Consider the following 15,196-nt stretch of genomic DNA (forward strand, 5'->3'; position numbering starts at 1 on the left):
GCTTTTAGCTTTTATAAACCATTAAAATGTAAGTCAAGCACATAAATATATCTGCTATGAAAAGAAGTGGTATTGCTAAGTTCCCTGATAGATGATGACAGGACTTCTCAGAATTCGAAGGCCAGTGTTTTAATCTTCAGGTTCTCTCAGGTCACGTGCTTGCCAATGACATTGGACCAGGAATCTCCAGAGGTGAGAAAGCCCCGGCCAACCCCAAATGCAGCTCTTGCTTGGTGAAAGCAGAGATGGGGTGAGGACAGGGACACAGGCAGAACCCTGCCGCGCTCCAGCTGAGCTGCTCACTTGCCACTCCCAGAGAAAACAGGAGGATCGACCTTTCTCTATGCAACGTCTAAAATTAATTTGGTGCTTAAAATCAGAGGTGGGTCAAGCAGTTGATTACCTGAGGTTGCCTTTGGACTAACAAAGGCGTCTCTTCAGCATGGTGAATTGCTCTGATGGCCCTGGGCCCGGAGCAGTGATTTGAGAAAATCACCCATGGCAACCATTAGGCAATGAGTCTCCATTGACTGCCAAAATCTCACTGAATATTGAAGGAAAAGAGAATTTATATGTAATCCAATTCAGAGCAACAACAACAACAACATCAACAATTCAATGTTCCCCAGTTCTTCATGGGAAAACTTCAATCCAGGTCCAAAGAGAGCTGCAAGAACAGCGCAGTTCACACAGAAAGTCTGCATTCACAGGCTGGGCTGGGGTCGCAACTCTGCGGGCCTCCCCACCCTGCCACGCTTTGTACTGCTGTGTGATTTTAGCGGAGGCATTTAGCTCACACAGCCTTAGTTTCCTCATCTGTAAAATTGAATAGCTACCTTCTAGGCTTTGGGAGAATGCAATGGAAAAAGAATCTTGCCTAGGGCATCATCAGCTCAGTAAATAATAGTTATTATCATGATGATTATCCTCCAGGTAGCTGTGATGTGTAGAAGCCCAGAACCAAGTAGCACAGGAGACAGAGGTAGTTAATTCAACCCTCCTCCAATACAACTGAGTGCCCTAATTATCCGAATAGAAGCTCCACTGCAGGAAAACTCTGTTTTGGAGCTCAAGGAAAGACCTACAAGGGAGAACCACAGAGCTGTAATTATCAGCTGAAAGAGGAAGGAAGTTCTAATCTCACAGAGCCCTTGGAGACTTGTGAACACCCGAAGCTTGGAGAAGGCTTCAACAGGGAACAAACGGTGAAAGCCACACAAAAATGAACTTAGCAGCAGGAAGGAGTACTCCACGTGCCCCTGCACCTCTCACCAAAGGGATACAGATATGTGATGGGTGTTTCTGTAATATATGCCTCATTTTCCAATGGAAAACCTCCATATACACATGAGTGCATGGAGAGGTCATAGTCACTGGTCAAGGAGTTAGAGATGAGTGGGGAAAAGTGATAGGGTGAGCATCCTCAATCTGGCCCCACCCTATCTGGCGCCAGACACCTAATGAACCACCTTTACTGGGGGAGACAGGGTCAAGGATGAAGCAATTTCCTCTTCATATCTAGCTATCATTTATTCTACATAGTTGATGCAGGCAATATGCTGGCTGTTTGAAGCAGGTGATATTTCTAATCCACACAATGGCCTGAAAGGTAAGTATTATGGAATCACTTATCTGGATAAATAAAACATGAGGTTCAGAGAGATTACGTAACTGGCCTAGATCAATAGGTGGGTAGGCAGACAGGTAGGCAGGTAGATAGATATAGAGATTGAAATATACTTTAAAAACACTCTGTTTGCCCTACATTCCTTGCTTTAGATAGGATTCTGAATGTGGGGCGGGCAGGAAAGCTGTCAGTCACGAAGGGAGCCTGCCCACCACAAGGCGAGTCATGTGACCCAGGCCAGAGAATCAGGTTACCCCACAGGGAACATCAGTGATTGGCCCAGGGGTAAGCAGGTAGCTCATGTAGCACCAGAGTCATATTTTTGAAGTTTTTATGGAAGTTGGAAAGATCTCTTTTGGAAATTACCAACTCCAGAGAGGATGTTAGCCTGGGAGTGCCAGGAACTTTCTGTGTCACTGGGGAAAGCGAGACTTGATTCTCCGGATATCATTGACCATCTGGGTCCTGTGGTGCCTGACGCTATGAGTTCTCAAAGTGGGGCCCCCAAAGCAGCAGCAGCAGCCTCATGGCCTTGCTGGAAATGCGAATTCTCAACCTCAGCTCCCAGACTCACTGCATTACAAACTCTGGAAGATGGAGCTGACTCAGTGAGATCTCTTTCCAAGCTCTCTAGATGGGCCTGATGCTTATTTTGAAAAGCACTGTTCTAGGTCAATCCAGGGAACTGTTAAACTTCATGAGCCAATAGATACCCCTCTTCTTGCCTAAACTTTGATTATAATAAAAGAAAAATACAGCAAGATAGTTTTGAGGGTTTTTTAATAAAAATTTACAATTATTTTTTAATCGCAAGTAAACTTAATTATTTTACCATTAAAACCTCTTCAACACAGAAATTCCTTTGAGGTTTTTAGTTTTGTTCTGTGTTTGTTTGTATGTGAGGCAAGACACCCCTGGATGCTTGCAAAGAAGAGGCAATTTGAAGTGAAACAGGCAGATGTACAATCTGATCCCATAAGTGACCCACTGCAGAACAGACAGCTGGACATATGGACATATGCAGCTGCCTGTCATTTATACACGAGAGTTAAACAGTTGGCAAAGAGAGTCTGGGCCACAGAGTGGTGAGCTGGCTAGAGGTGCGGATCTAGCCATTGGATAACACTGTACTTAAAACACAAAACTCTATCCAAGAAGAGGAAATGATTGAATACGAAGTATTTGAAAAAAGATTTGAAAGACTGAAAATGAAACACTTCCTTACATTCGCTAAGTGAGCTGAGAAAGAATTGCCCAGAAGGGTGATACGGAGGGCTAGAGAATGAAGACGACAGGGAGTGGAAGGAGAGAGCCCACCTACATGGCACCCAGCTTTGCAGAGGCTCCTGAAGACACAAGGTTGAAGGCCCTGGACTCAAAAATTTCCTTGACTCTGCCAGGCAAGAGGGTTAGCTGTTTCAGCAGAGGGTAGAGCCAAGCGAAAGCTGGAGAGTGAATAAGAAATGCTAGGAGCAATTGCGTCAGGTGGGGCAACCAGGACTGTGTTTGCCTTCGGACCAGGGCTGCCGAGTACAGATAGCAGGTGGTTTATGTGAGGCCTGGAGCAGGGGTCATTGCAGGAGACGGGGTTGCTGTGTGCCTATAAATGGAGTGAAAAAGTGAGTGCAAAGAAATGGAAAAGTTAGGAGATGCAGCATAACCTGTGAATCATGATCCCTGACAAAGTGGGGAGGCTCATGGGTGCAGGTGTAGGTGTGTGTGTGTGTGTGTGTGTGTGTGAGATCACATGGCTGTGGACAGAGGTGGGCTGGAACCCCTAACTTCCAGGAAACTCCAGGTTCTTTTCTTCTTCTACCCATAGGTCTGCATTGTGTTTTTCTAGGGTCACTCATCTATTCATCCAACAAATATTCAACAAGCACCTGTTACATACCAGATTATTACATACATGTGGCAGTGCACGTAACTGTGAAGCTGTGTACTACAGCTGCAGGGCGAGGACTGGGGCTTTAGCTCCCACCTTGTGCAATGTGGGATCTTCTCCATCGTCATATCAAGCCACCCCACGTGTATTTAATGTAAGTTGGAACACTGTGCTTGCTACAAAAGTCAGCTTCAGAAGAAGCCCCTCCGTGGATCACCACCTCCCTACAAGCTGCAGTCCTAATCTCCTATGTCAAAATCAGGGACTGCTGCTGCCCCGGGGGGTTTAGAGATGAAGACCCAGACTCTGACTGAGGAGTCTCCCAGTGAAAGGAAGGAGGCAGAAGCCCAGTCACCAGTGACGCCACCCAGCTGAGTGGACCGCGCAGAGGGAGGCGGACGCAGGGCACTCCAACATGGACCTGAGAGGCACACACTGCAATGCAAATCCTCCACGATAGTCCACAGGATGTACTGGGAGAAACTGGAAGGCCACAGGAGAAACGTTTGCTCACGAAAACACAGGCATTTCATGTGCCTGGAGCACGGGATGAAGAATTCCTTAGACTTTGAGTGCCAAGCTAGTGCTTGGACTTTCTTCTAAAGGTCATGGGTGAGCCCTTGGGGAATGTGGAGACCACTCCGGCCTGCGATGGAGAAGGAAATTGTGCCAGAAGCTGGGAAGTCAAAGTTAACCCTCCAGGCTAGATGTAAGTAACGCGTGGGGCTGCACATACGGCTGTGGCAGAGGAAATGGGACAGAGGGATTGATTTTAGTACAGAAATCCTAATTGGGCTTAAAGTAGGTATGGGAAAACCCCTGAAAGTGTGTGCTGATCTTGGTATGTGCAGATATTATTTTCCTCCTGGGGTAAACTTTAATTCTCAAAGGAGTCTATGACCCCCAAAAAAGTCATCTCCCTACTTGAAAGATGCTTGAGTGTCTAATGGCCAGGAGCGGGTGTTGGTGGGATACCAAGCGGTGGGAGGAACACAGTATCGTCCTCAAGCCTCTGACTTCTCCTAGACAGGGTAGCTAAGAGGACTTTTCAGATATGTTGCTTTTGAGGTGTCTGTGAGGAGAGGGAGGCAGGAAACGCAGGCACACGCACTCACAGTGGACGCGTCTTTAGAAAGCTGCACATTCTCTAATTGAGTTAATTGTTCACGCACTGAATGGAGCTGTTTCTGCTCAAGCTAGGGAAAGACTTGTCAGCTGTTTCTTCACTTCCATGACCTTGGAAAATCCGCTGTCTCCACCAGACACTGATCCTTGGCACAGCCACTATTTGATACACTTAACTCTGCTCAGGATTTTAGATCTCAACCCAGGAAATGAGCTACAGTCTCACCCCAGGCAAGTACAGAACATTTTCCTAACCAGGAGAGACGCCTGTGTCACACATTCCAAAGGTAGCCAGCAGCTAAGAAAGCCGCAACAAAGGAAATCAAACAGCTCTCTCTCCCCTAAACGCTGCTTTCAGGCAAGTTCCAAACAAAAATGGAGGATGCACTGCAAATTAAAAACAAAAGCCTGCCAGTCAAAGGCAGTGTTTTTAAACACAGAAAGAGCAATACCACTGCAGGGGGCAGATAAAAGAGCTTTTGAGCATCTCAGAAGCTACTCACACACAAAAGCACCTCTGTGCCTTCAAACAGGATCTCCTAGAAGTTTCCCAAGGTTTCATAACCCAAATACCGCTGGTAGTGATGTGGTTTGGAAATTAACCTTGCTTTTCTCCCCACTGCTGTTTTACATATTAATTAAAGTGTTTTCCTCAGATCAGGAACGCCTGCAGGCTGGCTAGGTTCTGCAGAAGGTGCCTCATTTTCCTGCCGCTTCCCGCCCCGGCCCCACTTGTGCATAGTTCAATGATTAAAACTTCCCCAGGTCAGCTGTAGACGCCTCCCCTCCCTTAACTGCCATCGTGATATAGAACACACACTTTAATGTGGCTTTTAAAAAGTAATCGCTTCCCCACCCCCCAAGAAAGATAGGTCGTGCAGAGCTAATTTCGGGAAGCCATTTAGAAGAAATTGTTGAGAAGGCATTGAAGTATTTGGGTCCAACTCTGCTTACCTCATTCATGGACCTGTTTCTTTTCTTTTTTTTCTTTTCCAGTGCTTGAAATAGGTGTGCAAACAATTCACATATTATAAATACGTTGACTTGGGCCGGGTGTGGTGGCTCACGCCTGTAATCCCAGCACTTTAGGAGGCTGAGGCAGGAGGATTACTTGAGGTCAGGAGTTCCAGACAAGCCTGGCCAACATTGCAAAACCCTCTCTCTACTAAAGTACAAAAATTAGCCGGGCAAGGTGGTCCGTGCCTGTAATCTCAGCTACTCAGGAGGCTGAGGCAGGAGAATCGCTTAAACCCAGGAGATGGAAGTTGCAATGAGGCGAGATCACAACAACCCACTCCAGCCTGGGCGACAGAGCAAGACCCTGTCTCAAATAAATAACTAAAATGAAAATAAATAAATTGATTTGTTTTCATTCATATATTTTGGGGATACAATGGAGCTTAAAGTTTGAAAACCAAAACGGAGCTGGCCACCAAAGGTGTGGATTTGGTCAACAGGGTGTGGACTCCAGCAGCCCGTGTCACTCTCAGACTCCATGTCTCAATTTGAATGTTTCCATGTCACTTAAAAAGTAGAATATTCATAGTGATGTTGAAGATACAAAAGATATACCAGGATTAATTTTCTAGTCAATTTTATGTGTCTGTGACCCAAGACAATAAAAGTTAAGTCATCGTTAGTTCCTTAGTTGCTGGACACTTTAGCCCAATATACCACCTTCAATTTTGAATTATTATTTGGACTGTGTTCATGAGATTCTTGGAGTATGTTAAATCAACACATTTCTTTGTAATTATTGAGAACCTTTTGTTCCCTATAAAATCAAGTGTACGATGATGTAAACTATAAAACGCAAATTGTAGGGACAATTGGTAATCTGCAGTGAAAATAAAGTCAAAATAGCAAAGAGCAGATTATTCTCAAATTTATGTAACAGAGTTCTTACATGTGGAAGTGGATACAAGTATTAGCACATTCAGTTGATGTACTGAAAATAAAATGAAACTATTTTTCTACTTACTACTTGCTTGTGAAATCCAAAGGGGTGAATAAGAGCCAGGATTCATTGTCATGAGTGTAGGGGTGCCCTGGGAAGGAGGCCTCCATCCCACGTGTCAGTGGCGTCATCAGAAATTCCATGATCGTCGGCTTATTCTTTGCACACGTGTCTACAGGGTCCCTCCGCACACCGACTTGGTGTCCTCCAGGATGCAGAAAACCCAAATTAAACTAGTTTAATGAATAAGGAAACTAAGTGGCTCTTAGGACCATAAGCCCTGCGGTGACGCCTGCTTCAGGGCTGGAGGAGCTAAGTGTTCTCTGGTTCACCAAAGCCCCCAGTTCTTTCCGTCTGTCACTCATAGCTTCGGCTTCGTCCCCGGCTCACTGCCAGTGGTAATCAGGCTGCCCAAGAACTTCTGAAATCCACAGCCCGGTGTTTCCAAACGAATTATCAGTAGGGTTGGAATCCCTTCTCCCCAGCCCCAGCCCCAGCAAGGCCCTCCAACGCCACTGCAGTTCCCTGGATAGCAGGAAGAGGCCTGAGCCGGCTCTCCCGGAGCTCCAGGTGCAGAGTCTCCCCACATGGGAGTCAGTGTTCTCAGAGCAGCATTTGTTGACCTGAGCTAACCAAGTTCTCTAACTGAAAGCCTGGCTGTGTAAAGCCACAGATGTCTGGCATTAGAATAGCTCAAGGACAGGAGAAAAAACTGACAATCAGTCCAGAACGGCATCCCAGGACTTCTGCTCTGAGGAGAAAACAGGACTAAACCCCAGCTGAGGTCTATTTCCAACTCCAAGATTCTGCAATGTTATCTCTGTTTAAAAAGATATCCCACTTTTTGATGACAGTGTGTCTGGAATTGGTGGGTTCTTGGTCTCACTGACTTCAAGAATGCAGCTGCGGACCCTGGCGGTGAGTGTTACAGCTCTTAAAGGCGGCATGTCCGGAGTTTGTTCCTTCTAGGTGGGTTCCTGGTCTCTCTGGCTCAGGAGTGAAGCTGCAGACCTTAGCGGTAAGCTGTTACAGCTCTTAAGTCAGCGCGTCTGGAGTCGTTCGCTCCTCCCGGTGGGTTCGTGGTCTCGCTAGCCTCAGGAGTGCAGCTGCAGACCTTCGTGGTGACTGCTACAGCTCATAAAAGCAGTGTGGACCCAAAGACTGAGCAGTAGCAAGATTTATTGCAAAAGACGAATGAACAAAGCTTCCACACGACAGACACAAACCCTAACAGATTGCCACCGCTAGCTCGGAGAGCCTGCTTTTCTTCCCTTATCTGGCTCCACCCACATCCTGCTGATTGGCCCATTTTACAGAGAGCTGATTGGTCTGTTTTACAGAGAGCTGATTGGTCTGTTTTGACAGGGTGCTGATTGGTGCGTTTACAATCCTGAGCTAGACACAAAGGTTCTCCAAGTCCCCACCAGATTAGCTAGACACAGGGTGCTGATTGGTGCATTTACAAACCTTGAGCTAGATACAGAGTGCTGATTGGTGTATTCACAATCCCTTAGCTAGACATAAATGTTCTCCAAGTCCCCACCAGATCAGCTAGACACAGAGTGCTGATTGGTGCATTTACAAACCTTGAGCTAGATACAGAGTGCTGATTGGTGTATTTACAATCCCTTAGCTAGACATAAAGATTCTCCAAGTCCCCACCAGACTCAAGAGCCCAGCTGGCTTCACTCAGTGGATCCCGCCCGGGGGCTGCAGGTGGAGCTGTCTGCCAGTCCCACGCTGTGCGCCCGCACTCCTCAGCCCTTGGGCGGTTGTTGGGACTGGGCGCCGTGGAGCAGGGGGCGGCGCTCATAGGGGAGGCTCGGGCCGCCAGGAGCCCACGGCGGGGGTGCGGGGGCAGGCTCAGGCATGGCGGGCTGCAGGTCCCGAGCCCTGCCCTGCGGGGAGGCAGCTAAGGCCCGGCGAGAAATCGAGCGCAGCGCCGGTGGGCCGGCACTGCTGGGGGACCTGGCGCACCCTCCGCAGCTGCTGGCTCGGGTGCTAAGCCCCTCACTGCCCGGCCGCTCCGAGTGCGGGGCCCGCCAAGCCCACGCCCACCCGGAACTCTAGCTGGCCCGCAAGCGCCGCTCCCAGCCCTGGTTCCCGCCCGTGCCTCTCCCTCCACACCTCCCCGCAGGCTGAGGGAGCCGGCTCCTGCCTCAGCCATCCCAGGAGGGGGCTCCCACAGTGCAGCGGCGGGCTGAAGCGCTCCTCAAGCGCGGCCAGAATGGGCGCCGAGGCCGAGGAGGCACCGAGAGCGAGCAAGGCCTGTGAGGGCTGCCAGCATGCTGTCACCTCTCGACAGAGTCACAAAGCATTTACTGAATGCCTACTGTATGCCAGGCCCTTTTCTCAAGTCTGCTTAACCAGGAGTGAAGAAGGCTGACATTACCGTCCATGTCACATTCTGGTAGGAGAGGGATACAGAGAACACTACAAGTAGGTGAAATAGGTAGTACTTTAAAGAATGAGAACAACATGGAAAAGGAGGCTATGAAATACTGAGAATATGGCTGGAGTTTTCATTTTAGATAAGTAAATAGCCAAAGAAGCCTTGACTGAGGAAGCAGCCAGCCCTGTAAGAAAGGAGACCCCTGCCATGGTCCTGAGACAAGGGTTTGAGTGGTTTCCGCAGGAGGCATTTCCAGGAGGGGAAGGAGGGAAACAACGAGGGAAAAGTACAAGGTGTGCTCACCCCTGAATGAGTCCCCGGGGCAACCCGGATCCACCTGTCCAGGCTCCTCTGAGCACGTGGGGAGCACGTGGAGAGGGAGTGGGGGAGTCGTGGGGGAGCGTGGGCAGCGCTTGGGGGAGCCGTTGGGGACTTGGGGAGAGCGTGGAGAGCCGTGGGGAGGGCGTGGCGGAGCTGTCGGGGAGCCGTGGGGGCGCGCGTGGTCAGCACTTGGGGAGCGCATTGAGAGCCGTGGGGAGCACTGAGGGAGGATGCGGTGGCCACGGCTGCGTGGCACCCCCAGGCCATGGCCAGGAGACCCTCGGGCGGCGCAGGTGCCGGAAGCAGCGCCATCCGTGCTATGGACGGGTCCCCCCAATTGGCAGCGGTCTCGGGGGTGAGCCAGAGGATGGGGTGACTGAGAGGTGGCCGATGTGGGGATGGTGGTTTTCAAATAGAGGCGAGATCGGAGCAGGAGCTGGGAACCAAACCAGAAGGTTTTCAGGACGTGGTTAGACTTTGAAGCGGCCTAAGGCTGTGGCACATCTGACCCACTTTCTCACCAACATTGCGGTGGCTTCTTAGTAAGGAACGGGCTGAAAGGGGTAAGGGAAAGGGTGGGGGCAGGGCACTGGGAAACCACCATTGCCAACATCCAGGCCAGGCAGGGGCGGCAGGGGCTGGGCCAGGGCGCAGGGGACCCGACTCTTGCTGCGGCCGCTGGGAAGAGGGAATTGCCATAGAGCCAGAACAGGAGGCGCTGGGGCAGGGCTCTGCTGTGGGGCGGGGTGCTCAGTTTGGGACAGTGTTGACACTTTTGGAGATCATCAGCCATCCCAGTAGGTGACTCCAGGAGGCCACTGGATATACAGCTCTGGGAACAAAAAACGGAATCATCAGCCTATTTACAACTCTGGAATGGATGAGATGGCTGTGACGACTGGCAGCAGCTGCGCCTGAGCCCTCAGCACCTGCAGGGTCCCATGGGAGGTGAGGGCTGTAAGGGAGCAAGCAACTCCTCTCCCTGGAGCAGGCGGGCAGGGAGAACAGACCGCCACTGTGCTGCTCTCAAAACCAAGTGCATGGCCGGTCGGGGTGGCTCAGGCCTGTAATCCCAGCACTTTGGGAGGCTGAGGCAGGCAGGTCACCTGAGGTCAGGAGTTCAAGACCAGCCTGGCCAACATGGTGAACCCCCTGACTAATAAAAATACAAAAATTAGGTGTGGTGGCACACACCTGTAATCCCAGCTACTCGGGAGGCTGAGGCAGGAGAATCGCTTGAACCCAAGACGCAGAGGTTTCAGTGAGCCGAAATTGTGCCACTGCACTCCAACCTGAGCCACAGAGTGAGACTTTGTCTTAAAAAAAAAAAAAAAAAAAGTGCAGAGTTGCTTTACATCTTTACATAGAGGAGAATGGTGTAAGACGCAGCTATTTGGTCAAACCTATGTGATTGAAACATTTGCATAGAAAGAGAGAGAGAAAGGATGGGAGAAGAAAATATAAACTAAATAACTCTCCTTTTTCTTTGCTGGCTTGTGTGTTTGCATTTATGAACACCAACATGAAATTTTGAACCTTAAATCTAGTATAAAAATATGGAACAGCCAGCTTCCTAGAGTGAGGGCACCATTCTGTGTTTGCTGCCGGTGGACCTAGTGTGGGTTTTGGCGCCAATGTCCTTTTCTGCTAAAACAACTTGGCCTCTTGGAAGGAAACTTGGACTCTGTTGCCCTGACTCAAACTGTTGTTTCATTTCTTATGATGTCTCCTCATGTTAAAAAAAAAAAGAATGTGGACATTATGGGTTTAAACATAATTTTGAATGAATGAGGAAATTCTGGTAGAGGGTTTGTCATAATGCAGTATCAATTGGTTAGGTCTTCTAAAGAAACATGTAGGGTTCTCTTAGGAACTGGTTCATTAAATCTAAAAGGCAAAAAAATTAAAACACACTTTTGATATATTTGTTGGAGTTACATATAATCATATCTTTCAAGAGCAGATGTGCCAAAATATACACAACAGAGTGTAGCTGGGTGACCCGAACTGACCACGAAAGTCATTTATCAAAATTCAAAGTTAGTTCCCCACAGGCCTGAATTTTCAGACCTACACACAATTCCACAAACAAATGATGGTAAAGTCCCAAACACCACATTCTTGGAGGGATCCAATGCTATTGGCACTGATGCTTTAATCAGAAAGAGGCTCAAACCCACTGGAGTTAAGCTCTCTGAAAGTCTTTGCTCCTTGGCAACCACGAGCAAACCTCTACAGCTGACTTTTTTAGAGTATTTTTTACATTTTTAAAAGGATTATTTCTGAATTATAAAACCACCGTTACCACCTTATTCTTGTAACTCTAACTTATTATTTTGAGTCAATTTATAAAACTTGATTCATGAGAGTCAAGATTCAGGGTAGGCCAGACAGTCACTCATTCCTACCCTCAAAGAGCATACACTCAAATAGAGAATGAAACACGTGCCCCAAGTCAGAGGTAAATATTATAAGCAAAAGCCAAAGTGTTCTGGGTCAAACACTTTTTGGGGGGTCAGTGAGGTCTTCATGCAGGGGTAACAGTGGAGAAAGGCCTTCAAGGATGGGGAAGATTTTCCCAGGCAGAGTTAAGAACAAAGAGAAAGCAGTTTGCCAGGAGACAGGGAAGCAAGTGTGCAGGGAGTGAATTTGAGGCCTTCCTAACTCTGGGTGTGACAGCAGAGGGGACCTGCCCATGAGCTGTCCGAGATGCAGCCAAAGGTTTCACCGCCCACGTGATAAGGGGCTAGAACACTGAAGTGTAGAATTTGGACTTTATTCAGTAAGAACGGGGAAGTACTGGGGGTCCCTGAGTAGAGAAGTGGGATCCTGCAAGCTGAGCATCACAATGATTCGTCAGGTGATGTCTCAGAGTTTCTCTGAATGGCACATAAACCAGAGACAGGAAGGTGAGTCCAGCCGTTTCTGTGGCCCAGCAAGAAGTAACAAGTAATAAGTAAAGTGCTATCAGTGGGAATGGCAAGGGAGGGGCGGTTACAAGTCACATTTCAGACAGGAGTTGATTGGATGTGGGGAGGGCCCAAGGATGTGGGGAGGGAGCTGTCAGAAATAAGTGGCCCTCTAAATTTTAGCCCCAGTGACTTAGAGAAAATGGTCAAGAGATGGAATTGGTTTTCAGGGAAGACACTGATCCATTCTGGACATGTTGAATTTAAGATGCCATTAGGAAAACCAAATTAAGGCACCTTGCAGGGAAATTGCACATGTAACATCCTGGCTTCTGGGATTTGAGAGGTGGCTGCAAAGAGAGAAAGGCAGTAAGGGATCTCCAGAGAAGGAGATCACACAGGAAGGAAGTGAGGGATGGGAAGTCATTGTTGGGAAGTTGAGGGTCAAGGACATTTAGAGAGCAGAGGGAGAAAGAAGGGGTGGCCATTGCACTAGCCAAAGAAAATGTTCAGCCACTCGCCCTGCAGGGAAGGCGAGGGGCAGGGTGGCTGCGCATAGATGTGGAATTAGCCGGACTCAGGGTGAAGCCATGATTCTGCTAGTGTGGTCTTGTAACCTGGGACATCTATCTGAGCGCCCTGTCAGCGCTTCTCTGCATTGTAAATGGGAGTTGTTGCAAGGGTGAAATAAGACGTAAGGTGTTTGGTGCAAGGTCTTGTGACAACTAGCACTAAGGAATGGTGCCTATGACCTTTATTAGGCAGGAAGGAGTCAACAGAGTGAGCTGCTGCTGCAGGGGGTTGGGAGCTCTTGCAACGGTGGCATCGAGAAGGTTGTCAACACAGCCCTGTCAACGGCTGAGGGTGGCAGAGTCCATATTGCAAAGGAGCACGGCATAAGTGGCGAGGCAAGAAGTAGATGGATGTTCTATTTTTTCCTTTCTCTATCTGGACAAAGGTCTTTTTCCTTCCAAGGTGTAGCTGGATTTTCTCTCTATAGAGCTTCCCTGGGGCGGTTCCATTTTCTAGTGTCTCCATGAGTCTTTGTTCTTTATATGAGGTCCCAATGATGCCATCCACTCATTTGCTTTCTCACAGGCATGTTTTCCACCAGCCACCCACGCTGATTAGCTTGAGAGTGACTCAAGGCAGGAACGATGCCCTTGTCGTAGAACAGCCTCTGATCGAGTGCTTGCTGAACAGCTGGCTAGCTCTGAGCATGAAGCAAAATGCAGGAAGCTGGGGTGTGTGAGGAGGAGCAGGGACAGCTTAAAGAAGAGAGGAGGGAGAGGAGGGGGACTCCTGCTTGGGGCACCCCACCTCCTGGATATGAGATCACTTGTGTGGAGCAGGCCTAGTAGCAGGTAAGTGGGCCGAAGGGGAGGGAGTGAAAAAGTCCATGTATTGAGTCACCTGAGGTGTCATTTAAAGAGACAGGAATAACAAAACATCAATGGGACCTAAGTTGAGATTAGAATTACCGACTTGACTTGTAGTGTCACCTGCCACCCAGGGTGAGGAATGTCCCTTACCACAAGGTCACCTGGGGTCTGAGATTTGAAATCTGTCAGCCTTTCTGGGCTGGTCTCTTGCCTCAGTTTATGCTCACACAGCTGCCTCAGGATCAGTGTGGACAGAAAGGTACGTGAGACTGTGCAACGGAGATGGGCTGGGAGAATGAGGAAGAGGGGAGGGACAGGAGGTGTCCATCACCTGGACACGGGACTGAACAACCACACAACCTCATGGCGGACACCAGCACACCTTGACCTTTGCTCATAAGTCTGTGAGTCGGGATGGGGGGCTGGCGACGGCTCATCCTGCTGGGCTTCCTACGTGTCTGAGACAACCGGATGGACTGGTGCCGGCTCCGTGTGGTCTCTCTTCATCTCGCAGATTTGCCTGGGCTTGTTTCCCAGCAGACAGCTTCTGAGGATAGGTTTGGGACGGGCACCTGCCACTTCCTCCACATTCCATTGGCCACAGTGAGTTGCAAGGCTGGCCAGACTCAGGAGTGCAGAGAAATACCCTCTACTTCCAGATGAGAAGAGCCACAAAGTGACATCACCGCAGGCTGGATGCAGGGCAGGGCAAGACAGCGGAACGCGTGGGCTGTTTTGACAGTCAGTCTACCCCAGGATGCTCCAGGAAGGGGAAAAGGACAAGGGAAGAGGGGCGCTGTGGCCAAGCAGGGGAACTTCTGTGTTCAAAATCTTGGAGATGGATCACTTTCAGTTCCCGATAAGGCTTAGTGTATGGCCCTGAGACTTGCCGTTTGATACTATAATCTGTCATATACAATGTAACTTAGTGAATTGGGTAAAGGATCTTCAGGGTTTATTTTGAATGGTTGTCATTTATTATAAAATTAATTTATTTTATAATAATTTTATCTAATTGGCTGGGCATGGTGGCTCAAACCTGTAATCTCAGCACTTTGTGAGAGCAGATTGCTTGAACCCAGGATCTTGAGACCAGCATGAGCAACATAGCAAGACCTCATCTCTACTAAAAAAAAAATCCAAAAAATTAGCCAGGCGTGGTGCCATGTGCCTGTAGTCCCAGCTACCTGGGAGGCTGAGGTGGAAGGATCGCTTGAGCCCAGGAGGTCAAGGCTGCAATAAGGTATGATCATGCCACTGCACTCCAGCATGGGCAACAGAGCAAGACCCTGTCTCCAAATAATAATTTGATATCAATTTGTAATAATTTATTTTAAAAGAATTGTATGAAGGACCCATGCCTTGGGGCATAGGGGCACTGATAGAAGGTAGGTGATCAGTATAGATATTTGCTGCATTAATCTATTTCAGTCACCTGTGAGATGATTCAGGTAGAAGGAAAGTGAGGCCCCGAGAGGTCAAATGTTTGCTGAGTCCCACACAGGTGAACACACTTTTCTCCTGGATCCTAGTCTACCCCACCTTCTTTTCTCCTTTTGAAAATTAATGTTTTGTAAGTGATTAAAAAGAAAAATGAT

At 48.6% G+C, this 15,196-nt stretch overlaps 1 long non-coding RNA gene across 1 annotated transcript, besides 3 other annotated features; it reads left to right on the plus strand.

Moving 5' to 3' along the window:
* The first annotated feature begins 3,949 nt into the window (after positions 1 to 3,949).
* LINC00676 (long intergenic non-protein coding RNA 676) lies at positions 3,950 to 5,710 on the plus strand. Its single transcript, NR_103846.1, has 3 exons — positions 3,950 to 4,221; positions 4,709 to 4,868; positions 5,634 to 5,710. It is a non-coding gene; the product is annotated as a long intergenic non-protein coding RNA 676 (long non-coding RNA).
* Positions 8,998 to 9,499: an enhancer, noted in NCBI's record as "H3K27ac-H3K4me1 hESC enhancer chr13:110385669-110386170 (GRCh37/hg19 assembly coordinates)". NCBI's record gives its function as "activates a minimal SCP1, AML or CMV promoter by ChIP-STARR-seq in primed H9 embryonic stem cells {active_cell/tissue: H9 hESC(primed)}" and the evidence as "EXISTENCE:reporter gene assay evidence [ECO:0000049][PMID:30033119]".
* Positions 13,647 to 14,147: an enhancer, noted in NCBI's record as "H3K4me1 hESC enhancer chr13:110390318-110390818 (GRCh37/hg19 assembly coordinates)". NCBI's record gives its function as "activates a minimal SCP1, AML or CMV promoter by ChIP-STARR-seq in naive and primed H9 embryonic stem cells {active_cell/tissue: H9 hESC(naive and primed)}" and the evidence as "EXISTENCE:reporter gene assay evidence [ECO:0000049][PMID:30033119]".
* Positions 14,148 to 14,648: an enhancer, noted in NCBI's record as "H3K4me1 hESC enhancer chr13:110390819-110391319 (GRCh37/hg19 assembly coordinates)". NCBI's record gives its function as "activates a minimal SCP1, AML or CMV promoter by ChIP-STARR-seq in naive and primed H9 embryonic stem cells {active_cell/tissue: H9 hESC(naive and primed)}" and the evidence as "EXISTENCE:reporter gene assay evidence [ECO:0000049][PMID:30033119]".

This window comes from Homo sapiens, chromosome 13 (genome assembly GCF_000001405.40).
Source record: "Homo sapiens chromosome 13, GRCh38.p14 Primary Assembly".
NCBI lineage: Eukaryota > Metazoa > Chordata > Mammalia > Primates > Hominidae > Homo > Homo sapiens.